At 44.9% G+C, this 26,619-nt stretch overlaps 1 protein-coding gene across 4 annotated transcripts in view, besides 1 other annotated feature; it reads left to right on the top strand.

The window, feature by feature from the left end:
- TBL1X (transducin beta like 1 X-linked) overlaps nt 1–26,619 on the top strand; it is a 256,446-nt gene that overhangs the window by 16,553 nt on the left and 213,274 nt on the right. For all 4 annotated transcript variants that reach the window (NM_001139468.1, NM_001139466.1, NM_001139467.1 and 1 more), the window contains exon 2: nt 21,933–22,002. The gene's annotated coding sequence lies outside the window, so the exon portion shown is untranslated. The remainder of the gene's footprint in view (nt 1–21,932; nt 22,003–26,619) is intronic.
- Nucleotides 23,754–24,254: an enhancer, noted in NCBI's record as "H3K4me1 hESC enhancer chrX:9471641-9472141 (GRCh37/hg19 assembly coordinates)". NCBI's record gives its function as "activates a minimal SCP1, AML or CMV promoter by ChIP-STARR-seq in naive H9 embryonic stem cells {active_cell/tissue: H9 hESC(naive)}" and the evidence as "EXISTENCE:reporter gene assay evidence [ECO:0000049][PMID:30033119]".

Consider the following 26,619-nt stretch of genomic DNA (forward strand, 5'->3'; position numbering starts at 1 on the left):
ATAAAAGTTGCTGAAAGTTAAGATTGTAACACGTATAATTGAGACTACTGGAGAAACAGTTTTACATGCAAGGCGTAGAAGGAAAGTAGAATGTGTGTGTGTGTGTGTGTGTGTGTGTTTGAGATGGAGTTTTGCTCTTGTTGCCCAGGCTGGAGTGCAATGGCATGATCTCGGCTCACCGCAACCTCCGCCTCCCGGGTTCAAGCGATTCTTCTGCTTCAGCCTCCCCCCGGCGTAGCTGAGATTAAGGACATGCGCCACCACCTCCGGCTAATTTTGTATTTTTAGTAGAGACAGGGTTTCTCCATGTTGGTCAAGCTGGTCTCGAACTCCTGACCTCAGGTGATCTACCCGCCTCGGCCTCCCAAAGTGCTGGGATTATAGGCGTGAGCCACTGCACCTGGCGGGAAAGTAGAATGTGTCTTGTGGGAGGCTATAAGAAAGCATGGGAATATGGTTTTTGTAAAAGGGAATATAATTTTGTCTGGTTCGGAGGATTTTAAGGATCATCTTAAAAGAGTAATGGGACAAAACTGAAAGTTTAAGCAAGTTGAAAAAGGTTTGTAAAGGGTTCATCTTGTAAAGGAAGTTCTGTGGGTATGAGCAAGTTGGCTAAGACTTGAAGGGGATTATTTAGTTTTTCTGTAGGTTGAATATTTTTTGTTTGACTTTTGAATGAATGACAGAAAAACGAGGAGAGAGGAGCCTCATACTGTCTTTATTTTGTCCTGTTTGGAAAGTTGAGTTTCCCCTCTATCAGTGAGTGAAGATTTTTGCCTTTTAAAAATTCTTGAGTTATTATGGCTAAATAAATGACTTCTAGTGACTTGGGATTTTATTTTGTAATATCAAGGGTCTAAACATTTGATATTTGACAAAACTTTCCAAAGTCAAAATCTAAATTAAGCCACCCCCCCCCCCGCCCTTATTTTAATCTGGTTAACCTTCCAGATATTAAATACTGTAAAGTCCAAAAGAGACATATTTGGCTTATTTGATATATTAAAACTATAACAGTAAGCATTGTCAGGTATGCAATAGTGTTTGGCTTTCTTTGGACTGTATTTGTATGAATGTGTTGTTAGTATGTGTTTCAGAATTGTATAAGATTTCCTGTAATTCTGATATGTTTTAGTATATGTTATCAGTAATAATTATGATTGTTAAGTTATTGTATGCCACAGAGATGATCAGACCTTAACTGTGGCTGTTCTGAAACTTTTGTCATCCACAATTGTTTTACTTTGGTTATTTTCAGGGTGGTTTTATAATCAGCTATAGGACTGTGACAGTTTTCTGATAACTTTGGAGATTGTGACATTAAAATAGACGAAAAAGCTTCCAAGGCTCCCATTAAGAGCTAATGTATTCATGGATATCGAGCAGAACAGGAGTTAATTACATGGACTGAAGTAATGGAAGACCGAAATAAACTTTTTCTGGCTTTTCGTTTGAAACATTGCTCATTCTTTTGTTTTTCAGAGTCCAGAAAACCTTTTTTTTCTTTTGAGCTATTTATAGCTTTTAACAATTGGATAAAGTATGCTCTTGTGAACAAAATCTGAAGCACATTTCTCTCTCTACCTGATTTCTCTAGAATTTGAAAACTGTTTGCAAGTATACTTAATTTATGATGTTATAGTTGTTTGTTAAATACAAATCTGTTTTCTTTTGTAGCAGGACACAATTGGAGACACTGGTTATTTTACCAAAGCTTTGATTGGAATGGCATACTTTCAGATTGCTTTAAGGAATCAAAGTTGACTTACAGAGCCAATAAAAGCCCCTTGGGTAAGCTGGCCTCATACCTTGTCTACACAGTCCCTGGACAGGTTCCTAAGTAAAGAATGTCACTTTCTGACAGGTCCAGGAGCTCCAAGTTATCTTGAGCCCTTGAGGTGAGGAATTCACCCAATTAATACAAGTATTTGCAGGCACAGATAAATCCGTGGCTGGGCTAAATGCTTTGAAGTCTAATGTGAGATTTCTTAGGGAATAAAGTTGCAGCAAAGCCAATTTTAAAAAGGAGCATATATGGCAAATAATTGTTCTAGCTGACCTTATGCAAACACTCGGGCCAGGTATAGTAAGAATAAAACTTATTTTGCACATAAATTAGTCCTAATGTGATTTGTCTTTAGTAAAAATAGGGACTGGAGAGAGAAATTATGTTTCAGAAAAAAACTATAGAACACCTGTTGTTAGAATCTAGTCTTGTTCACTATTTTTGAATTTTTATTATTTTCTGTCATTTGGACTGAATCGTGAATTCTTTCTGGACTACAAGTCCCAAACTAATGCTTTCAAATTTTTCTTTCATTTCTAACTTGGCCTCAATAAAATTGCTACTACCTCTTTCCTGAGGTCCTATAAGCTGAAGCTTATTATGAGAGAAAAACATGTCAGATTGCCACCACCTTCCTCGTCTATAACTAAAGATGTTTTGAGTCTAATGTCTGGATAAATTGTGCCCAGTGTTAATCTTTGTTTTTTTTCCGTGTCTATGGAAATGCCTCTTACAGAAGCTTAGCCCATCTGCAGTGCCACCTCCTGATATGGGAAACAGCTGTTTAACTGATCTAGTCTTAGGACTTGGACACTGACTAAAAAGATATGGGACAATATATTTAAATTCACTCTTTCCTGTTTATCCCAGTCTCTCTTTCTAACAACATATAGTCTACTGTTGACTTAAGTGTTGTACTAGAACTGTGAGTAAGAACATTAACATCTTTGTCATACACCCGTGAGTACATGCAGGTAGCTGCACGGTGGTGAGCTCACTCCTATTCCCCTGGGACCAACCCCTGCAACTATGCCCCCTGTCAGCAGGAAGAAGCCAGAGTGATGGTCACCCTTTTTCTATCTCTATAGCCAGCACCTTAAGAATAAGGTGTATGAAAGCCAAAGGGGGTATTGAAACCACCTTTGCAAAAGTTATATCAGTGAGAGAATGATGACAGTGAAAGAGATCTGAGCTAATCCACCCCCCATCTTGCCTTTCTCTTAATTATTCATTTCCCTTAATTATTGCATTTCCCTTAGTTATTCCATCTCCCATGTGGTGTGGCTGGCCTTGTGTCTGTTAAACTCTTTCTCTACTAAAATGCCCATGGTCTTTATGCAGCCGGCAGGAAGAACCCCTCAGGCGGTTACAGTTTTGCTCCCAGGGGACAGTTTTGGTTGTTATAAATGAGGAAGGTGTGCTCTTGGCATCTAGCAGGTAGAGGCCAGGGCTGGCCTCCTGAAGTGCAGAGGAAGGTCCCCTCCTCTTTCAAGAGAGTTATCCAGCCCCAAAAGGTCAGCATTGCAGAAATTAAGAAACCCTGACTTAGAAGCTTTGCACCTCGTGGTAGCTGTAAATGAGGTATTTACATCCTCCATGAAGACGTAAGGAAGTTGAAGGAATAAAAATCTCATGGGGCTTTGAAAGCAATGCAAGCATCTTTTAGTTTTCATACATTCCATGGAAGTAGGGATTTTTTTCTAAAGCAAAAAGACCAACAAGACTTTGGAGCTCAGTTTAGAAGAAAAAAGTGACTTTCAAACCCTTTAGAAGTATTCATTTACAAATGAACAATGAAATGACTGTGTAGATGGAGAAACCCTGAGCGCCCCTTGGCTTTGATCTGGTGGTCACGTTCATCCGTGTCTGTTCCCTGAAGAACCAGTGCCCACATTTGCCTGCCTTCTTTACCTAACTCCCCCCAACAAGAGCTGACCCTCCTCCCATCTTCTCGCCTGGTTGGTCTTTTTCCTCCCTCCCCCTGAAGCCTGCCTGCCTCTGCTTTCCACCCTCCGACAAGCCCTGATCTGTGCTCTGAACAAACTCCTATGCGGGTCTCTTTGAAGTCTTTTTGCCTGCCCCTAAGTGCATCCCTCCCACCCCCACCCAGGTGATACTGAATCTATGTGAATTTGTGGAGTTCTCCCTTCCTTCCCCTCTGGCAGAATCACCAGGATTCAGTCTAGAGTACAACATTATAGATGTTTTCTAGCACTTTTCAGCTGTCCATACGCTAATATGTAGTCTTGGGTCTTTATCCGAATGGAGTCCTATTATATTTGTTTCACACCATCTGCTTTCCTTATTTTTGTATCTTTACTGAGGTATATTGAAGTACAGTAAGCTAGACTTGTATGAAGTGTGCAGTTTTAATCTGTTTTTTCTTTTTTATTTCTTTGTTTGTTTACATACATTTTTTAGAGACAAGGTCTCACTATGTTGCCCAGGCTGGTCTCAATCTCCTGGGCTCAAGCAATCTTCCTGCCTCAGCCTCCTGAGTAGTTGGGACTATAGGCGCATGCCACCACACCCGGTTAATTTTTTATTTTTTGTAGAGATGAGGGCTCCCTATGTTGCCCAGGCTGGTCTCAAACTCCTGGGCTCAAGTGATCCTCCTGCCTTGGCCTTCCAAAGTGCTAGGATTACTACGGGTGTGAGCCACCGTGCCTGGCTCGTTTTTTCATACACACACACACACACACCCATATTTGTGAAACCAGCACCACAGTCAAAGAATATTTCCATCACTCTCCAAAGTTTACTTGTGCTTTTTTGTAATGTCTCTCCCCCTCCCTCTACCCCTTTCCCAGGCAGCCATTGGTGGGCAGTCTGTGACTATTGCATTTTCTAGCAATTTATATTACTGAAATCATATGGTATGTACTCATTATTTTGCCTGGCGTCTCTCCCTCAGCATCATGATTTTGGGGCTTCATGTTGTTGCACATGTCACTAACTCATTCCTCTATTGCTGCGTAGGATTCCTTCCTGTATGGATGCACTATGGTTTGTGTATCCATTCACCAGTTGTTGAATGTTTGGGTTGTTTGTTTTTTATTGTGACAATTATGAATAATGCTGCTGTAAATGTTTACATGGCTGTACAGTGGTTCTCAAACTTCATCATGCATCGGAACCACCTGCAGAGCTTGTTAAAACACAGAGCATCCAGGCACGGTGGCTCATGCCTGGAATTCCAGCACCTTGGAAGGCTGAGGCAGGAGGATAGCTTGAACCGAGAAGTTCGAGACCAGCCTGGGCAATGTAGAGAGACCCTGGCACTAAAAAAAAAAAAAAAAAAAAAAAAATTAGCCAGGTATTGTGTGCACTTGTAGTCCCAGCTTCTCGAGAGGCTGCAGTGGGACAATCACTTGAGTCCAGGAGTTTGAGGCTGCAGTGAGCTGTGATTGTGCCACTGCACTCCAGCCTGGGTGATAGAGCACAAGACCCTGTTGCATAAATACTCCCCCCAAAACCCCAGAAAAACCAACACACAGAGTGGCAGGCCCCATCCCCAGAGTTTGTGATTCATTGAATTAGGGGCTGGGTTAAGACTCTGCCTTTCTAATGGGCTCTCAGCTGATGCTGGTGCCAATGGTTCAAGGACCACATAGACTTCGAGGGCTGCTGCCTTAAAGGAAGTCTTTGTAAATTATGATAGTTAATCGTTTGTTAGTTGTTCCAGGTATTTCTCTTCTAGACCATTCCTTGCCATGTAATGTTGCTTATGGTTTGAAGCATCAAGCTCGCATTTTTGTGTAGTCGAACATGTCAGTCTTTTCTTTGGGCTTCTGGGCATGGCTTCCTTCCAGCAAGGGGCAGATACCAAGAATAACTTGGAGTAGGTGAGGCAGGTTTTGATGTTAGCAAAACTCAAACCATGACACTCCCCCAAATGGGAGTCTGCCCTCATTGGGCCTAATTGTGCCCTCTGCTGCAGATGCTGGGATGGCCTTCTGATGGGATGGCCGGGCTGTGTTGTCAGCACCCGCCCACATGAGACGAGTTTGTAGCTGTGCCTGGTGCCAAGAGCTCTGAGGTGCTACTATGCCCCCTGGAACCTTTGGGCAAAGCATAGCTAGTCATCAGGCTTGCCTTTCACAGGCAAACCAAATCCATCCTTTCTTCATCCCCCTGCCCTGCCAAAATCAACCAGTCTCAAATCAATTCACGAAAGGGGGCCAATTTGCCTTTCGGGTGTCTGATCTAACAAGCCTTGGAGCAGCTAGGAAGCTACCAGAAGATGTGTATGATCAATGTATTTGTTATTTATTTTATTTTATTTTTTTAAGTTTGGGGAAAGGTAATACTTTTGGTCAACCATCTGAAGGGACTCCCTCCTCTAGGCCAGGGCACTCCATAGTTAACCTGAAAAACTGGTTCAGGGCATGACAGGAAGGGGGTTTGAACATGCTTCATTATGCCCTCCTCCCTTTTGGAATTCATGAACAGCCGACAGCATTTAACACAGACCTTAAGTCTGATAAGAAACAGTTACAATCTATTTTCTCTGAAGCCTGCTACCTGGAGGCATCATCTGCGTGATAAAACCTAGGTCTCTACAACCCCTTATGGTACCTGGACATTTTTTTCTATTGATAATAGCTTTTTTTTTTTTATTATTGAGACAAGTGCTGTTGCCCAGGTTGGAGTGTGATGGCATGATCACAGCTCACTGTAGCCTTGACCTCCTGGGCTCAAGCGATCCTCCCACCTCCGCCTCTCTAGCAGCTAGGACTACAGGTGTGTGCCACCACACCTGGTTAATTTTTGTATTTTTTGTAAAGACGGTGTTTTGCCATGTTGCCTAGGCTGGTCTCGAGCTCCTGGACTCAAGCAATCTGCCTGCCTTGGCCTCTCAGAGTACAGCGATTATAAGCATGAGCTACCAGGCCTTGCCGATAATAACTCTTTCAACCAGTTGCCAATCAGAAGAATTTTATCCCAGAACACACACCCCCCCCCCACGCCCCCGCCGCCTCAAGTCTTCCCACCTTTCTGGACCAAACCAATCTATATCTTAAATGTATTTTGATATCTCATGTCTCCCTAAAATGTATAAAACCAAGCTATGCCCCAACCGCCTTGGGTACATGTTCTCAGGATCTCCTGAGGGCCATGTCACGGGCCATGGTCACTCATATTCAGCTCAGAATAAATCTCTTCAAATGTTTTGCAGTTTGACTTTTTTCATTGACAGAGAGCAGCTTTAAATTACTGTGGACTCTTTGTTGCAAAAGCATCTTCTTGAATTTGATAATAAAGCCCTACTCTTCCAGTTTGTCCCTGAGTGCATTCTGCAGGTACCTCCGGTCACCGCTTCTTATCTTTGCTGTTGACCTCAGTTCATTCCTTTCAGATTCTTCACTCAGGAGAAGTCGTGGAACAGATTCCTGGAGGATTCCAGGCTCTGTAAGGAGGCTTATCTCCTTAGGATGGTTAAATTTTGGATTTGCAGTGACTTGTAATCATTGGCTAATATCCTAGTTTCTTCTTCTCTTTTTTAATGACAACTTTACTGAGCATACACACAACTCATTCCTCTAAAGTGTGTAATTCAGGAATTTCCTAGTATTTTTACAAAGTTGCACAACCATCACCACTGTCTAATTTTTGAACATTTTCATCACTCCCAAAGGAGACCCTGTACCTGTTAAGACATCACTGCCCCTTCCCCTTCTCCCCAGCCCCCCTGGCAACCCTGAATCTGGTTTCTGCCTCTATGGATTTATCTATTCTGGACATTTCATAGATACAGAATCATGTGATGTGTGACCTTTTGCGCCTGGATTCTTACTTCATATTTCTGAGTTTCATCCATGTTGTAGTATGTGTTGTTCTAGTTTCTTGTAAATGTTCTGTCAAAACCCCAGGTGATTAAGGAAGGTGGAACAATGTTCTGAGATAAGTCAGCCAGAGACACAGGCTGCTCCTCCCTCCAATTACATTTAAAATGGAAAATCGTTCACAAATGGAACATTGTTCATAAAATTGTTTATAGTTCAGCTTCTATTCTAGCATGAACGGTAATTTTCTCTTTCGCATTTGCTGTAGTTCCTCCAAATTTCTCCCACTTTCCTATACCTAAAGGTCAACGTAGAAAACAATTTTCGTCAGCTAGAGCTGGGCCTGCAGGTCTCTCTTGTGTTGCATCTTTTGGGTGGAGTCAGAAGGTCCTTTCTTGGTGTAAGAGTTAGGAAGCTTGCATTTCCCAAAGGGGTTGTGTGGTGTTCCTTCCAGAGCTGAGGTTGTGGGATTCCAAGCAGCAAGACTTAGGCTGTTTTCTACGGCGTCCCCAAAGTCACAACCCTGACTGATGCAGGAACAGAATCATAAGGTTGTTTACTTTTCTGAATTTATCAAACCTTTTGTCTGTGTTTGACCAAAATTACTTTTCCCGGGTTGGGTTGGAGAATATGGAGGGTGATTTTCTGAAACCATTCATGGGACATGATTTTCTGGGGCATCTGTACCTGCAATGAAGGGCTTACTGATAAGACTGAAGGCCATTGTACTTTACTGGTTGGTGTTATAATTGATCATATTCATTTCTTGTCCTACTGTGACAAGTGACTGCACATTTACTGGCTTAAACAAAAACTATTATCTTACGGTTCTGAAGGCCAGAAGTCTGAAATGGGTCTCACTGTGCTAAAATCAAGGTTTAGCAGAGCCACAACTTTCCTGGAAGCTCTAGGGGAGAATTGGCTTCCTTGCCTTTTCCAGCTCCTGGAGACTGGCCGCATTCCTGAGCTTGTGGCCCCTTCCTCCATCTGCAGAGGAGCAGCGTAGCACCTCTCTGACTGTCCTTCCATAGGCATATCTCTCTGAGACCATAGCTGGGAAAGGCTGTCCACTTTTCCGGGCTCCTGTGATTACATTGGGCCCATCCGGAAGATCCAGAATAATCCCCACATCTCAAGAGACTTAATTTAATCACATTTGTAAAGTCCCTTTTACCATATAAGGAAACATATTCTCAGGTCCCAGGGATTCAGGCATGAGCATCTTTGGGGGCCATTATTCTGCCTACTACATTGTCAGTCTTCAAGGACAGACTTACTTCCTTTGTTTCTGTCTCTTAATTTGCTCCTCTGAAGCCTGCAAGATTCATAGGCTTATGTAACGTTTGTGTTTTGTCTCTCGAATAATTGAGAAATCTGGTACTGTTGAGCCATTTGGTTTGTATTGCTCACTCACTGAGTCGATTGATTGGTTGGTTGATTGAGTGATTAATAGAGACAGTCTCATTTTGTTGCCCAGGCTGGTCTCAAACTCCTGGTCTCAAGCGATCCTCCCTCCTTGGCCTCCCAAAGTGCTGGGATTGCAGGTTTGAGCCACCATGCTTGCCCTCAGTATTGATTCCCTCTGAATGAGCCAGGATTTGCTTTCCATTTTGGAGAGCCCCTAGATTGCTGAACAGCTCAGAGACACACTTGTGTATTGAGGTCCTCTTTCCTGCCACTCTTGGTTTTGGACTTTATCAGGGACTCTGCCAGAGCTACTTTTCTGGACTTGGAGTCTCAGAGTCTGTGTCAGCTGTGGGTAAGGAATGAGACCACCATGAAGCAAGCAGAGGTAGCGGGTGGGGCCTGGCTTCCAGGACTTTGCAGATGCTGTGTGTGGATTTCTGGGGCCTGAATCAAGAGCCCCTGGGTTTGTGGCTTCACAGAATGGTGGAGGAAGACTGGTGGAGTTAAGGGACAGAAGACTCAACAATAATTAGCTTGTTAATCAGCATTTTGGCTCAAAAATAGTTTGGGAGTATACTGGTCAGCTTTCTGCCATGCTAATGTTGCATAACAAACAGCCCCCAAATTCAGAGGCTTAAATCGTTTCTTTCTTGCTCACTAGTCATGGTTAGCTGTGTCTCTCCTGGGCTTATATGGGAATAGGAAGGCCTGGTCAGGTTCTGGGCTAGGCTTAGGGTTGAAATGATGTGTCTCCTCATCAGGGGACCCTGGGGCATGTTGTTTGTGCCTCTCCCATCAGGTATAGGAAGCCAAGATAAATCATGCAGGCACATTTAAAGTCTCTGTTTGTCACTACCCCTAACATCCCATTGACCAAAACAAGTCCCATGGTGAGGTCCAGCCTCCACGGGTTGGGGAGGGCTATTCTAGTCTGAAAGCCCTGAAAAGTCACATGGCAAAGGGAGCAGCCATAGACTTCCACTATGGGAGGATGGAAGAGTTAGCATTGCAGTGCCTCTGCCATGTTTGTGGGTGGAAGGGAAGGTGATCCCTGTGGAAGAGACTGTGGATACATCCAGTCATACCCTAGAAAATCAGCTCTATAGGTGGATTTTTGAAGCACTGTGTGCTTGTTATCTTTTTATTATTACTTTATTTTTGAGACAGGATCTCACTGTCACCCAAACTCGAGTGCAATGGTGAGATCATGGCTCACTGGTGCTTCTTTCTTCTGGGCTCAAGTCTCCTCCCGCCTCAGCCTCCCAAGTAGCTGGGAATACAGGTGCACACTCACCACATTCAGCTACTTTTTAAACATTTTTTTTGTAGAGACAGAGTCTCATCATGTTGTCCAGACTAGTCTTGAACTCCTGGGCTCAAGCAGTCCTCCCACCTCGGCCTCCCAAAGTGCAGGGATTACAGGTGTGAGCCACTGCACCTAGCCAGGGTGCTTGTTAAACCTGCAGCTTCCTTGATTCCATCTTAGAGCCCTGTTCTCACCTGAGGAGAGGGGATTGTGCCCCTTGGGGAACATTTGACAATGTCGGGAAACACTTTTGCGTTTCACAGCTGGGTGGGGGTTGCTCCTGGCATCTTGTGGGCAGACCCCAGGGGTTCCACTAAGCACTGTAATGTGCACAGGACAGCCCCCCTCAAAGAATTATCTGGCCCAACAAATGTCAGTTCTGCTGAGGCCAAGAAACCCTGCACAAACAGGCAATTTTAGGTGATTTTCATGCACTTTATAGTTTGAGAACCATGTCTTGCAAGACTGTTCCAACTGGGAAGGGGAATTGGTGATTCTTTCCATATAAGTAGACACGGACACATCTAGGAAGGAAGGTTTGATATCTCGCAGATAGTTGTGTGGAGAGGCGAATTCAAACCCAAGGGTCTTAGTTAGATCTATTACTTCTGTAATTAAAAAATATGTTCTGCTCATATTGTATTAATTCTTTGTTGTATTAAGTATTTACTCTTGCTGTTTATTAGTAGCTTAATAAATGGACCGTTTATTTGGTGTGGGAAGAAATCTATGTTTTATTAGATTTCTATTATGAGCTTATTTTTTTTCTAAGTGGCCTTTTGCCAGCTGTTTCTTCTGTCCTGTTATTCCTGCTCACCAGCAAGATTATAAATTCTTAAAAAATTTGTTTTTAATTTTTTTTTTGAGAGGGGATCTCACTCTATCACCCAGGCTGGAGTGCAGTGGCTCAATCATAGCTCATTGCAGCCTTGAACTTCTGGGCTAAAGCAATCCTCCTGCCTCAGCCTCTTGAGTAGCTTGGGACTATAGGTGCATGCCACCATGCTCTGCTAGTTTTTAAATTGTTTTTGTAGAGATGGGGTCTCACTGTTGTTGCGCAGGCTGGTCTTGAACTCTAGGGCTCAAGCAATCCTCCTGCCTAGGCCTTCCAAAGTATTGGGATTACAGGTGTGTGCCACTGCACCACCGCATCACCGCACTTGGCCAGTATATTTATATATATATATATATATATATATATATATATTTTTTTTTTTTTTTTCTTTGAGACAGAGTCTCACTGTGTCATGCAGGCTGGAGTGTAGTGGCATGATCTCGGCTCACTGCAGCCTCGACCTCCCAGGCTCAAGTGATTTTCCCGCCTCAGCCACCCGAGTAGCTGAGACTACAGGTGCATACCACCACACCCAGCTAGTGGCCAGTAAGTTCTTAATAGCAGTGATCACGCTTTATATTTTGTTTCTACTCTGCACAGTACTCAGCATACGATAATGATCAGTCAGTTGCTAATGGTATCAATTGCAATGTGAGTTGCGCTCTGTGGTTAAAGACTCATTTATGAGGTATCCGTGGACCAGCCTTTTATACTTTGCTATAAATCCTGTTTCTAGGCTTTTGGGGCTGAATGGTTGGCATATTGATGCTCGGTTTCTGTGTGGCAATTAGGAGAAAAGGTCCTTGTCACTGGCAAGCTGACAGCCTCCTTTCTTCTCCTACCCTCAAGTTGTTTTGGTGATTGAAATGTTTCAGATATTAAAAAAAAATCAAGAATTGCTTGCTGATAGGACAACAGAAGTACAGTTCAGGGAGTTAAAGCTTCTCCATTCCCCACCTCAATTGTACACAGCAAGCATGGACAGATTTCCTTGTAGAAAGCATGCAAGCAGCATTTCTATGGAGGATGCTGTGTCACCTGAAATTTGCTATGCTCAGATCAGCCAAGTATTGCCTCTGGGGGCTACCAGCAAGTTATAGAAATAACTTTGTTATGAAATACTTCTTTAAGGGGGTGTTAGTATTGATTCACTGAAGTGGTTCTCCTTGTGTACATGGAGTAGTTGTGAGACGAAGGTTTCTTTTCTTCCTGGCTCCCCATGTGGGAAGGACGCTTAGTGGTTTGTGGGATGCAGGGAGAGGAACAGAGTCCATCCTTCAGTTGCTCTTTTTACTAATTTATTAACTTGCCTCTCATCCCCTTGGCTGTTAAGACACTAAGCTGGTGTGTCTGACAAGCAGATGACCTAAAAATTCACGCGTAGTAAAAGGGAAGATGAAAATAGAAGTATATGAACTAAATTAGGAGGAGGACTTGGCTTCATTAAAAAAATGAGAAAGCCATGTTGTGCTTTTTTTAACTGCCACTTTTCCAAGTGCAGGACTAACAGTTTCAGATGTCATTATGCTACCAGTCTTGGTAATTTCTAATCATGTTTTGTCTAAAGAATATTTACATTAAAATGAGCCAGCCTCTTTAAAGTCACATTTTAGTAGTGAGAAAACCAATGTCCGTTTTTGGAAAGGGAGCCCTTACCTCAGCTGGTGTGAGCGTTTTGTGGAGGTCTGCGGTGTTTGTGACTTGTGCCAGAGGCCTTGAGCTAGAGGCAACATAAGAAGGAATCAAACTTCCCTTTCTGTTCGGTATGCCTCTGTACCAAGACGTTTTGTTGATTGATTCATGGCACGGTGATACAGGGTGCATGGTATCAGATGCAGGGAGTGGAATATTGTTGAGATTGGGGCTAGAGGGTGTGTGTGTGTGTGTGTGTGTGTGTGTGTGTGTGTGTGTGTGTGTGTGTGTGTGTGTGTAGGGGAGGAAGGAATGGAAGGATGAAACCATTTGGGAATGTGCTGGAAGACATGCTTTTGAGGACAAGCAATGCGATTTTGGCATTGGCTGGGTTTCTGAGCCAGTGATGAATGTAGTGCATTGCTATGTGACTGGGAGTGTGATAGAGAGATATTCCGCTGGTTATTTCCCTCCACCTGCTTCTTATCAGTGCCATAGGGCAGAGTCTCAATTCCACTTGCCAGAATGCTTTCTAGGAACTCTTTATGCTCAATGGAGGTGATGTTTTCCCACTTGCTATGCTGTGCCTTAGGGAACAGGAACTGGTATTATCACATAAGCAATCTCTAAGTCCCTTGGAAGATTGTCTCATTCATCAAGAGGGAGAGGATTCTGATTTTCCTGCCTGGCTCCTCCAGGAAGTCTAACTTCTTGCAGGGGACCTGTTCTCTCGGCCCACTTGTACAGCATGTATAAAAGGAAATGAAGACTTTTGGGGATTTGTTGATTCACTTGTTTGGAAATTGGGGTTATGTAAGCCCAATTTGAGTTCCAGGACTCATCTATGATTGCCTGGATTAAATCAAAGGACACCCATGTAGGCTGGACGTGATGGCTCATGCCTATAACCCAAGCACTTTGGGAAGCTGAGGCGGGCGGATTGCTTGGACCCGTGAGTTGGAGACCAGCCTGGGCAAGATGGTGACATTCCATCTCTACTAAAAATACAGAAAATTAGCCAGGCGTGGTGGTATGTTCCTGGTCCCAGCTACTTGGGAGGCTGGGGTGGGAGGATCACCTGAACCTGGGAAGTCGAGGCTGCAGTGAGCTGATATCCTGAGATCATGCCACTGCACTTCAGCCTGGGCAACTGGAGTGAGATCTTGTCTCAAAAACAAAACAAAACAAAAAAAACCAAAAAACAACCTGCGTAATTGTAGATTTTTGTTGTTGTTTGATATACTGTCTCTTTTCCTGGAAAGAACCCTCTCGTGGGAACAGAAATGTTGAATTTAGTCCTGATGCTGTCCCTAACCACCCCGTGACACTGGTCCCAGGAAAATATAGGAATTGTCTCTCTTTTTCTGTCATCTCAGAGCTTGAGACAAATGTTCTCTGAGGTTGTTTTAGCACCACACTGTGATTCATCTTCGAGACTGTTCACAGCCCTTGATCTGAATTGATGGAGCTGTGGGGGATCATACCGCCACTGCCAGTGCTGAGAGCTGCATGTGGTGCGGTCCAGTGGCTACAGCGTTGTCTTTGGGATCTTCACTTGGCACCACAGCGGATTTGTATAATTATTATGTTGACTGGAACTTAGAGTGACTCAACTGCCTTGAACAGGAACCAAGAAAGAGAGGAACCAAATTCCAGAAGAGAATTTGCCAGAACATTCCAGCATATTCCATACTCTAGGGTTGTCTTATAGGGTCTGAGGGTACTTCTTGGTTATCTACTCATGTGCGTCTGACATAATTAAAGGCCGACTTAGACCCTATCAGAGAAAATCAAGTTCAGACACTTAGTCTAAATGGAAGTAAGGAAAACGATTACCTTTATCTCATTATCTTAGTTCTCTTTGGAAGATATATAAGCTTGAACCATGGTGACAGGTGTTGCCTTTAAACATGGTGACAGGTGTTTTCCTTTAAAGTCCTTGGCAAATCAACTCATAGACTTCTTCAACTTCAAAAAAAAAGTTTTTTTAAAAAATATTTTAAAAATATTTAACTTGAGGATCTTCATTGAAAATTGGTCATCTTTCGTGAATTTGCTTAAGTAGGCTTTGATCTCTTTTTAAAGGATTCCTTCCTGCCTGATACATTTGGTCCTTTTAGAATTCGGGCTAGAACAATTCTCCATGAAGGTGGACGTGTTAAAATCTATTTGGTTCATTGTTAGGATCACTCACATTACAAGAGAAATTTCGGTCTTGAGTTTTTGTTTTTGCTTATTTGCTTTCTTGGAAATGTTTCCACATCAGGTCTTAGAGGAGTTGTAAAACAGGAAGGAGGAGTTGACATGCTGTTTCATAACCAATGCTTGCTTCTCGCCTTGGATACTAACATTTTTTCCATCCATTTCCCACATAAAACATGGAGACAAACACCAGAGCTGCTCCTGAGAGGTGCTGAGTCATAGGAATTGAAGGGGGCTGTTGGGCCCTCGTGTGTGGGATGGGCTCAAGAGCTATCAGTCTACAGAGGGAAAGGTTCATCTCTGTCCCTCATTGCCTGCAGTTTCTCTTTGGCCCTGGCTTTTTCCGTTCACAGCTGCCCTCGACGTTCATTTTAATCAAATTTCACCTGCATAAAAGGGCTATGGGCAGAGAGTCTTCTCTGTGATGGAGCGCAGCTATCCTACAAGTATGTAGCCCTGATTTAGTAGAGAAGAGGCAGGAATTGTCGAGGGCGGAGGAGCAGGAGAAATGGTGCACAAGGGAGAGGGGATAATGACAGGTCATTCAGGGATGTCTACGGAATGTGAAAATGCAGCAAGATGGGTTTCGGTTTCTTTTTTTTTAGGTCCGACAGAGATTCCTGGGATAGCTGCATCTTCATGTTGTACACGCATACACTTGATTCCCATTATTCACTGGAGCTATGTTCTGTAAAGTCGCTGAGACTTTATAGAAAGCATCACCCCAGGGAAAATACACAGTGAGGCTTCTGCGAACCTCTGGTCACAATGTTGTTGTCAAGCAGTCAGTGCATAACTTTGTTGTATGTATTTCTATTGTGTGTTTCTGTTGGTTCCTTTACATTGCACTCACGCCAACAGCACTGTGACTCACGCCTGGCCGAACCTCATCTAACGCACGTATTTTCCCCATAAGACGCATCCCAGCCTTGTGCTTCAGGACATGAGACAGCACTGCAGCATCTGGGGGCCATTTTAAGCAGCAAAGTCACCCAGAAACTACAACATTTCAAAAAACTGGCACTGTGAATAGACTGCGAAAAGGACACTTGTTTACGGAGTGAGAGCCTTGTTCACCCTCAGCTGGGAACATGTGCATTTGGTGACACAGCCACACGCTGCATGTTTGAGAATGACCATGAAAGCGCTGCAGGTACTGATTTTGGAGCTACAAATAAATGTTAGCCAATAGGCAAATTCACAGACACGGAATCCGTAAATAACAAGGCTTGGCTGTGTGTGTATACATAGTGTAGTGTTGATAGTGTGTATACACAATACACATTGATATTTTGGGAGAGATTTTGAAGAAGTCACCATGAAAGCCAGTGTGTCCGTTTGGCCCTCTGGAAAGCGTGCGGTGAGGAGGAGTCAGGGTACAAGTGTTTAAATTGGGGACATGGCCTGAGGAGATGAAAGAGAGGTGGGGACTGAGTAGGGAAAGCTCCACACCACAATGCATAACTGATAAGGTTTTGGCCAACAAGCCAGAGAACCCTAGAGCAAAGAGTGCCCCTTGCTTACAGCCAGAGGGCCTTGCTCAGTGAATATAGGGGGCTAGGAGTGGGGAGGCATCTCCAAAGGAGCATCGTGGATTTGCAACTCTGTCTTTCTGGAAAGGATATGAGAGTCTTGCCCTCTCCCCCAGGGCTGACACAGTTGTAAACCAAACTTTTGACTTCAGTTGTACATATCAATTATTTTGCACCCACATTAGATTGAACCAAATGACACTGGCTCTTTTAAATTAAAAGTGGTCAAATGCTGGCAGCCTCTTAGGGTTCAATTCAATGGAATCTTTTAAAGGTGCAATAATGCTGTTTGAAATGAGGAGAACGCCTGTGTTTTGTTTGCTGAGAGAAATCCACTATCTCTCATCCAGAAGATGATTAGACCCATAATGGAAGCCAGTCAGTGGCATGAGGAATCATGGAGATGATTCTCACCTGGTTGATTGGATCAGACGTTCCTAGCCCGAATGAGGGTGGAAAGGGAACCAAGAGATGAAGTGGATTGTTGGGTTTATGAGAGGACGGTGGTTGTCTGTCTATAGTTAAGGTTGTTTAAACTCATGACCATGAGAATGAGCTTTTTCTGGATAACTCTTTCCTTTTCCTTCTGATTTTTGAGAGTGCTGAAAACTCAAGTCCTGTATTTAAAAATTCCATCGTTGAAAACATGTTTCAAGGACAGATGACACACTTATGATTATAGCATCTGAAGTGATGGGAATATTAAATAACCTTTGGTTGGACATGTAACCATCAGGGCTCCACTTGGTCTTAAAACCAAACACACACAGTTCTTGTCGTTAAAGATATCCATGGCCTGGCACAGTGGCTCACGCCTGTAATCCTAACACTTTGGAAAGCCGAGGCGAGGGGTTAACTTGAGCCCAGGGGTTTGAGACCAGCCTGGGCAACATGGTGAAACCTTGTCTCTACAAAAAATACAAAAATTAGCTGGGTGTGGTGTTGTGTGCCTGTAGTCCCAGCTACTAGGGAGGCTGAGGCAGGAAAATCACCTGAACCCAGGAGGTGGAGGTTGCAGTCAGGCACCATCCTGCGATTGCACTCCAGCCTGGGAGACACAGCCAGACTCCATCTCAAAAAAAAAAAAAAAAAAAAAAAGACTTACACAGAGAAAGCCTGAAGCCCACAAGAGCAATTAGCAAAAGGAACCCTGACATAACAAATACGGTGGTGTCATTAGCAACCAGGTAGTTAAGCTCAGGGGTTGCTATGTGTCATAAACTTGAAAGCTACATTGGCCACGAGTAACACAAATGTAGGTGCTAATCACAGATAGTTGGTGGGCATTTCAAACTTTCTCTTCATATCTATGGATACCCAAAACAGTGTGCTTCCATTTAGAAGGCTTCCATTGGGAGGCTGAGACAGGAGGATTGCTTGAGTCCAGGAGATCGAGATTAGCGTGTTCCTCCCTCCCTCCCTCCCTCCCTCCCTCCCTCCCTCTCTCTCTCCCTCCCTCTCTCCGTCTCTTCCTCCCTCCCTCTCGTTTCTTTCTTTTTTCTTTTCTTTCTCTCTCTCTCTGTCTCCCTCTCTCTCCCTCTCCCTCCCTCCCTCCCCTCCTTCCTCCTCCTCTCTTTCTTTTGAGGTGGGGTCTCGCTAAGTTTCCCAGGCTGGTCTGGAACTCCTGGGCTCAAGTGATCCTCCTGCCCCAGCCTCCCAAAGTGCTGGGATTACAAGCATGCATGAGCCACTATGCCAGGCCTATTTTCCCTTTCCTGCTATTTCCTCCCAGCTAACGCGCTTTTAAAATTTGATACAAATTAATTTTTCTTTTTTTGTCTTTTGTTCAAATAATGATTTGATTTCTGTTCTCTGTCTGGGTCGCTTCAATAACATGGATACCTACACATAGTTTTATCAGTAAAGGTCATTGACATAATCAGTGTGTTGTGAGAACAAAGATAGGCCCTCATTTAAGCTGCTCCATTACTCATTTTATAAGTCAGAGAAGGAAGGGGACAGCGTCCTCTGTTTTCAGATGGCTATTGAAGTGAGTCAGAGTGACGGTGAGCAGCATGCATTGAATTCTAGCTGGAAAGAGGGTTTTTAGGCCTGCGTTTGAGCTTGCCCTGAATGAATAAGGCTGGAAACCTATAGGCCCTGGAGAACATTAATGAGGAATCTGCTTTCCCTGACAGCTCCTTGATAAACGAAATGATGGATGTGCAGCGTGCAGCCCTGAGCAAAGGCCTGGCAGCTCTGTGGCTGAGCCCTAGAGGGCTGAGCTGGGCCAGGGCTCCCAGTAGTTTGTTCAGGAGCACTGAGAGCCACAGCAGGTGCTGATCCAGCTCTTGCCTTCTTCGCGAGTATCTGACAAGTCTGCAGAGACCGCAGGAGCCTGGCTACTCCTTGAGTTCACTGTCTTGGAGCAAGCCTGTGGGGGAATCACATGCCCCCCCACTCTAGTGCCCATTGGGGACATGGAGGAGGGAGTTTCCCTATTTGCAGTTAGGTTTTGCGTGCTGTCCGCGAGCTTGGTTTCCCCTTTGGGTTGCACAGTGCTGAGATCTGAGCCCAAGGCAGTTGGGACATTAATGATGAGACAGAGGAGGCTTTGCTGTGTTCCACATCTATCAGGCTGCTTTGCCCAGGGAGACGCCCCCCTTGCTTGGGGTCTTGGGCTTGGGTAGGGGTTCTGGAATGTCTCCCCTCCAGCAGGCTCTGCCTCCTTGGCTTCCTTGATTCAGAGAGCAGTGCAGTGGCTTTGTTGAGGAGCAGCCCCTGTGGAGGCGCTCATGGGTGACAGGCTGTGGCTGAATAGTGGACAGCCCTGGTCACTGACATTAACATGGTGCAATAGAGCCTTCTTATGTGTTCCTTGGTTCCCACTGCCCTTTCATGGTCGGGTGTCCTGATTGTCTGTGGCTAGACTATGCCAACGTGATCAGTGTCCTTCCCAGAACCCCTGAAAGAGGGTCATAGATTGAGATGTCTGTCACCACCCCTGTCCATTGCAGAGTCACATACATGCTAGAGACCAGCTCGCCCTTGATGCGACCTGAGGACCTCGCCCGCTAGTCATTACAGGGAGGGGAAAGACAATAAAAAGATGAAAGAGAGTGCTGTCCCTGGTAATGGAAGTTACTCATCATTGTACCAGTGGGCAGCCACATAGGGATAGGTCGGAAGAGAAAGGGGAAAGAGTGAATAAAAAACGCTGATGTTTGTGAGGCCGAGAGAGGAACAGAACTATTACTGCTGGTCAAGGGGGCCATCCACTTAAAATGTTCACATCCTGTTTCAGCCACAAGCTGGCCAAGATCATCACATAAAGGGACAAACGTTGGCCCCAGAAAGAACGCATGGTCATCTTGAGTCAAGGCTGTCTCATTTGATGTCAGAATTCTTAAGAGCTGCTCTGGCTAGGTGCAGTGGCTCATGCCTGTAATCCCAGCACTTTGGGAGGCTGAGGCGGGTGGATCACCTGAGGTCAGGAGTTCGAGACCAGCTTGGCCAACATGGTGAAACCCTGTCTCTACTAAAAATACAAAAATTAGCCGGACGTGGTGGCAGGCACCTATAACCCCAGCTACTTGGGAAGCTGAGGCAGGAGACTCTCATTTGAACCTGGGAGGTGGAGGTTGCAGTGAGCTGAGATCAGGCCATTGCACTCCAGCCTGGGCAACAAGAGCAAAATCCTGTCTCCAAAAAAAAAAAAGAACTGCTCTTGGCTGGGTGTGGTGGCTCACACCTGTGATCCCAGTGCTTTGGGAGGCTGAGACGGGAGGATTGCTTGAGCCCAGGAGTTCGAGATTAGCATGGGCAACATAACAAGACCCCATCTCTTTAAAAAATTAGCCAGGCATGGTGGTGTATGCCTGTGGTCCCAGCAACATGGGAGGCTGAAGCAGGAGGATCACTTGAGCTCAGGAGTTGGAGGCTGCAGCGAGCCATGATGGCACCACTGCACTACAGCCTGGACAGCAAAGGAAGACCCTGTCTCAAAAAAAAAAAAAAAAAAAAGCAAGAAAAAAAAAGCATCCAGGTGTGGTGGCTCACACCTATAATTCCAGCACTTTGGGAGGCCGAGGCAGGCAGATCACCTGAGGTCAGGAGTTCAAGCCCAGCCTGGCCAACATGGTGAAACCCCGTCTCTACTAAAAATACAAAATATTAGCTGGATGTGGTGGCGGGTTCCTGTAATCCCAGCTACTCGGGAGGCTGAGGCAGGAGCATCGCTCAAACCCAGGAGGTGGAGGTTGCAATGAGCCGAGACTGCGCCATTGCACTCTAGCCTGAGCAACAAGAGCAAGACTCCGTCTCAAACAAACAAAAAAAACTACTCTCCAAACAGAACCTGCACCTACCCAATTGTGGTGGGTGCCCCTCCTGGGGCTCCTGCAGTAGCGGTGGTGTGGGAATTGAGAATCTTGCAAGTGCTATGAGGGAGCTGAGACACTGAGTGTGGCAGGGCCATGTGCCCAGAGCATGCACAACCCATCCTAACGTCTGCCGGGGAAGGTGGGGGATTTCTGTGCATTGCTTTTCAACCAGAAAGGTAATTTTTGTTCCCCAGGGGACACTCGGCAATGTCTGGAGACAGTTTTGGTTGTGACACTGGGTTAAGGAGTGCTACTGTCATCTAATGGATGGAGAGCAGGGATACTGCTGAACATCCCACAGTGCACAGGGCGGCCTCACAACAACCAAGACCACCTGGCCTCAAATGTCAGTAGGGCTAACATCCAGAAGCTCTGCGAGTCTGTGGGAAGCCCTGGATGCCCCAATCCTCTTTCATTTTCTTCTCACCACGTAGGACAGTTTAGCTGGACAGTACACAGGACTCATTCAAGGGGTCATGAGAGGAGACCTCATAGCATAAGGGTCAAGTACAAGGACTTTGCAGTCAGACTGACGTGGGTTTCAGTCCCTACCCATCCTAGTGGTGTGACCGAGAGCAAGTTGGGCATAGTGACATCTGTCTTGATTGACTTTGGAGTTTGACAGGCAGTACATGCAAAGTTCTCTATTCCCATGTCACTCAGAGTGAGTGTGCAAAACATACTATTGTTGGCATCCATCGTCATAAGAGTCACTGTGAACATGGGTGAGCTTAGCACCTTGTGGCACGGGGCTGTGGTGAGGGACTCAGACAGCTTTATGATTGAGTTTGGGCCTCAGCGAGATGGCAAAGCTATGCTTCTCTTGCTCCTTGGACCATGGTGACCTGTGAGGACCCCTGGGGGCTGCCTTCTCCACTGTTGCAGTTCAGGGAGCTAAGGCCAAAGGCTACTGCAGTGGTGGACTCTGGGGTCCCCCTGGTGACAAGGAAGGGACTTTGAGCTTTGGAATGCCCTGGGCTGAGTCTTGCCACCTGCAGGTTTGTGAACCTCATCATGCCTTGTTTTTAGCACAACAAAATGGGATAATAGTGACTTTATTATTGATATACTATTATGCTGTTTTCAGGTATGTGACACTGCTGCTATTTTACTGTTTCTTCCAGATTTCCGTGAGGGTGGAAGAAAATCATACCATATCAGATGCCTCGCAGAGCACCAGGCCCACCGTGAAAGGTACAGCAAATTTTACTTCCCTCTTCTTGCCTCGTTGGAAATTCTTTCCTGTGAGATTTCCTCCCCTCCGCCCTCCGCGCCTTCTGCCATAGCCTATAGCCTCCTCTGGGAGTTCTTGGATAATTTTGTTGCCTTATACCTTTGCAATTTCCAGTATGGTAGCCATGCGCCACATGTGGCTGTGGAGTGCTTGAAATGTGGCCAGTCTAGATTGAGATGCCTTGTAGAAGTATAAAATACACACTGGATTTCAAAGACTTAGTTCAAAAAGAAAGAAAGCAAGGTATCTTATTGATAATGTAATACAGTTTACATGTTGAAATGATCACTTGGATACGTGGAGTAAAATAGAATGTATTATTAAATGTAACTTCACCTGTTTTCTTTTGACATTTTTTTGTGGACCCAGAAAATTGATAGACAGGTGGATTTCCTTCACACTTACACACTTGTCTTGCTCAAGACCAGCCCTGCTTCCTCACTGGCTGCTCAGTCAAATGCCTCCTCCAGTTTAAGCTGTCCATCACGGGGCCACCCATTATGTGTCCATCTCATCTTCTCTGCTCAGTGCCTGTGCAGGCAGCTGGTGTTCCTGCTCCTCCCGCCCAGCTTTGCTTATGATGCTAGTCTTGAGTGCAGGCTGCTGAGCTTCTCACCTTTCTTCCCATACATGTAGAACCTCTCCTCCAGAAACATGGGGTACTTACCAGCTGGCAAGGAGCAGAGCTGGGGTTCACATTCATTTCTGTCTTGCTCCAAATCCATGTCCCTAATAGATTACTGTCTCCAATTGCTTTGTGGATGTAAACACATAGTAAGTTCCTAGAGAGCAGGGACCATTTTTATTTCTTTCATCTCTGCTGTTCAAGACCTTTCTAAAGCTTTTTTGAAAGAATTAAGATTTCTAGTCTCTTGCCCTTCCACTTTCTGCTATGTGAAGACACAGTGTTCCTGCCCTCTGCCCTCTGGATGCTACAGCAACAAGGTGCCATGTTGGAAGGAAGCAGAGAACATCCCTCACCAAATAATCAATCCTGCTGGTGCCTTAATTGTGAACTTCTCAGCCTGCAGAACTCACGAAGGTCATCACCATGTAGGCTGATTGATCTTGGACTTCCAAGCCTCCAGAACTCAAATCAGTGAATTTAAAAACATTTTATGGAGGGCGGGGCCAAGATGGCCAACTAGAAGCCACGGTGTTGGGAGGCTGCTATCAGAAAAGACCATAATAAGCGTGTGAATCCTTCATCAGCAACCAAGGTATCTGGGTTCTCTCATCAAAATTGACTAGAAGGCTGGCGTGACCCACAGAGAGAAGGAAGAACAGTGTGGTGTGGCGGCCCACCTGAGAGTCACATGGGAAAGGGAACCCCCTCACTCCAGATAAGGCAGGAGGTGAGTGAGCACGCTACCCAGCCGGGGAAACTGCTTTTCCACAGAACTGTGAAACCCACGGATTGGAAGATCTCACTCGTGAACCCACGCCACCAGGGCCTCGTGTCCCAGCCCCAGAACACACAGATTCTTACAGCCTCTCAGCTGGAATCCGCTTAAGCTTACCAAACTCCTCGGGGAGGGGTGACCAGTACCAGCTGCAGCTGCCTGCTGTCTAAGCCCTTTGAACTCCTGCAGGGAGGGGCAGCAGCCAGCACTGGCAACTGCCTAACATGCTAAGCTCCCTGGACAGGGGGAAGGGTGGCACCCATTTCTGTAGCTACAGGCTACGCTTTTCCCCTGCTAGAGCCAGGGAGGCTGGACAGCTTGGTCCCAAGACTTGTCCCCACAGCCCAACACACTGGCTGTGGCAGTCTGCGGCTAGAGTGCCTCTTCAGGCCCAATCCCAACCCATCCTTTCTTAGTTGGGGTGTGTGTGGGGCGGGGCGCTTCCCTGCTGGATCTCCAGTAACTCCAGCCAGAGGCTAAGGGACAGAATTTGGATCTCCTGGGCCTCAGCCCATAGGGGAGGGGTGGCCGCAGTCTCTGCTGACCAGCAGATTTAGCTTTTCCTCCTGGTAGTTCCAAGGAATCTGGACAGCCCAGATGAGTGGGTTTCCCCCAAGCAAAACACACCCTCTCCACCAAGGGACAGAGTGCTCCATTAAACGGGTCCTGCTCCCTGTGTCACCCAACTGGGTGAGACCCTTCAACAGGGCTTGTCAGATACCCTCTGCAGGAGTGATCCTACTGGCATCAGGTTGGTGCCCCTTGAGGTCAGAGGTCCCAGAAGAAGGAGTAGGCACCCATCTTTGCTGCTCTCCAGCATCCTTAATGACATCTCCAGGCATGGGAGCGAATCAGATGAATAAGGCCTGAAGGTGAACCACCAGCAAACTGCAGCAGCCCTACAGAAGAGGGACTGGACTACTGAAAGAAAAACAAGCAGAAAGTGACAACAACAGCATCAACAACAACAATCAAATAAAAGGTCCCCACAAAAATCTCATCCAAGGGTAGCAGCCTCAAAGACTGAAACTAGACAAACTCATGAAGATGAGAAAGAATGAAAAAATGCTGAAAACCCAAAAGGCCAGAGTACCTCTTCTCCTCCAAATGATTACAACATCTCTCCATCAAGGGCACAGAACTGGACGGAGGATCAGATGGATGAATTGACAGAAGTAGGCTTCAGAAGATGGGTTATAAAAAACTACAATGAGCTAAAGGAGCATGTTCTAACCTAATTCAAAGAAGCTAAGAACCTTGATAAAAGGTTAGAGGAATTGCTAACTAGAATAACCAGTTTAGAGAGGAACATAAGCAACCTGATGGAGCTGAAAAACACAGCACGAGAACTTTGTGAAGCACACACAAGTATCGTGAAGCATAAACAAGTATCAACAGCTGAATCGACCAAGTAGGAGAAAGGATATCAGAGTTTGAAGACCACCTTACTGAAATAAGACATGCAGACAAGAATAGAGAAAAAAGAATGAACAAAGCCTACCAGAAATATGGGACCTCATAAAAAGACTGAACCTACGATTGAGTGGAGTACCAGAAGGAGGTGGGGAGAATGGAAACAAGCTGGAAAACACACTTCAGGGTATTATCCAGGAGAACTTCCCCAGACTACCAAGACAGGCCAACCTGCAAATTCAGGAAATACTGGGAACACCATTAAGATACTCTATGAGACGATCAACCCCAAGACACATAATCATCAGATTTTCCAAGGTCGAAATGAAGGATAAAACTAAGGGCAGCCAGAGAGAAAGGCTAGGTCACCTACAAAGGGAAGCCCATCAGACTGACAATGGACTTCTCAGCAGAAACTCTACAAGCCAGAAGAGATTGGGGGCCAATATTCAACATTCTTAAAGAAAAGAATTTTCAACCCAGAATTTTATATCTAGCCAAACTAAGCTTTCTATAAAATCCTTTCCAGACAAGCAAATGCTGAGGGATTTTGTTACCACTAGGCCTGCCCTGCAATGTCTCCTGAAAGAAGCACTAAATATGGTAAGGAAAAACTGGTACTAGCCACTGCAAAAACACATGAAAATATAAAGACCAATGACACTACAAAGAAACTGCATCAACTAATGTACAAAATAACCAAATAGCATCATGATGACAGGATCAAATTCACACATAACAATATTAACCTTAAATGTAAATGGGCTAAATGCCCCAATTAAAAGACACAGACTAGCAAATTGGATAAGGAGTCAAGACTCATTGGTGTGCTGTATTCAGGAGACCCATCTTACATGCAGAGACACACACAGGCTCAAAATAAAGGGATGGAGGAAAATTTACCAAGCAAATGGAAAGCAAAGAAAAAAAGCAGGAGTTGCAATCCTAGTCTCTGACAAAACAGACTTTAAACCAGCAAAAATAAAAACAGACAAAGAAGGGCATTACATAATGGTAAAGGGAACAATTCAACAAGAAGAACTAACTATTCTAAATGTATATATATGCACCCAATACAGGAGCACCCAGATTCATAAAATAAGTTCTTAGAGACCTGCAAAGAGACTTAGACTCCCACACAATAATAGGGGGAGACTTTAACACCCCACTGTCAGTATTAGGTCAGTGAGACAGAAAATTAACAAGGATATTCAGGACTCGAACTCAGATCTGGATCAAGTGGACTTAGTAGAAGTCTACAGAACTCTCTACCCCAAATCAACAGAATATACATTCTTCTCAGTGCCACATGGCACTTATTCTAAAATCAACCACACAATTGGAAGTAAAACACTCCTCAGCAAATGGAAAAGAACTGAAATCATGACAGACAGTCTCTCAGACCACAGTGCAATCACATTAGAACTCAGGATTAAGAAACTCATTCAAAACCACATAATTTCGTGGAAATTGAACAACTTGCTCCTGGATGACTCCTGGGTAAATAATGACATTAAGGCAGAAATCTAGTATTTCTTTGAAACCAATGAGAACAAAGAGATAATGTACCAGAATTTCTGGGACACAGCTAAAGCAGTGTTAATAGGGAAATTTTGCACTAAATGCCCACATCAGAAAGCTAAAAAGATCTCAAATCAGCACCCTAACATCACAATTAAAAGAGCTAGAGAGGCAAGAGCAAACTAATCCAAAAGCTGGCGGAAGGTAAGAAATAACTAATATCAGAGAAGAATCGAAGGC

This window comes from Homo sapiens, chromosome X, assembly GCF_000001405.40.
Source record: "Homo sapiens chromosome X, GRCh38.p14 Primary Assembly".
Taxonomy (NCBI): Eukaryota; Metazoa; Chordata; class Mammalia; order Primates; family Hominidae; genus Homo; species Homo sapiens.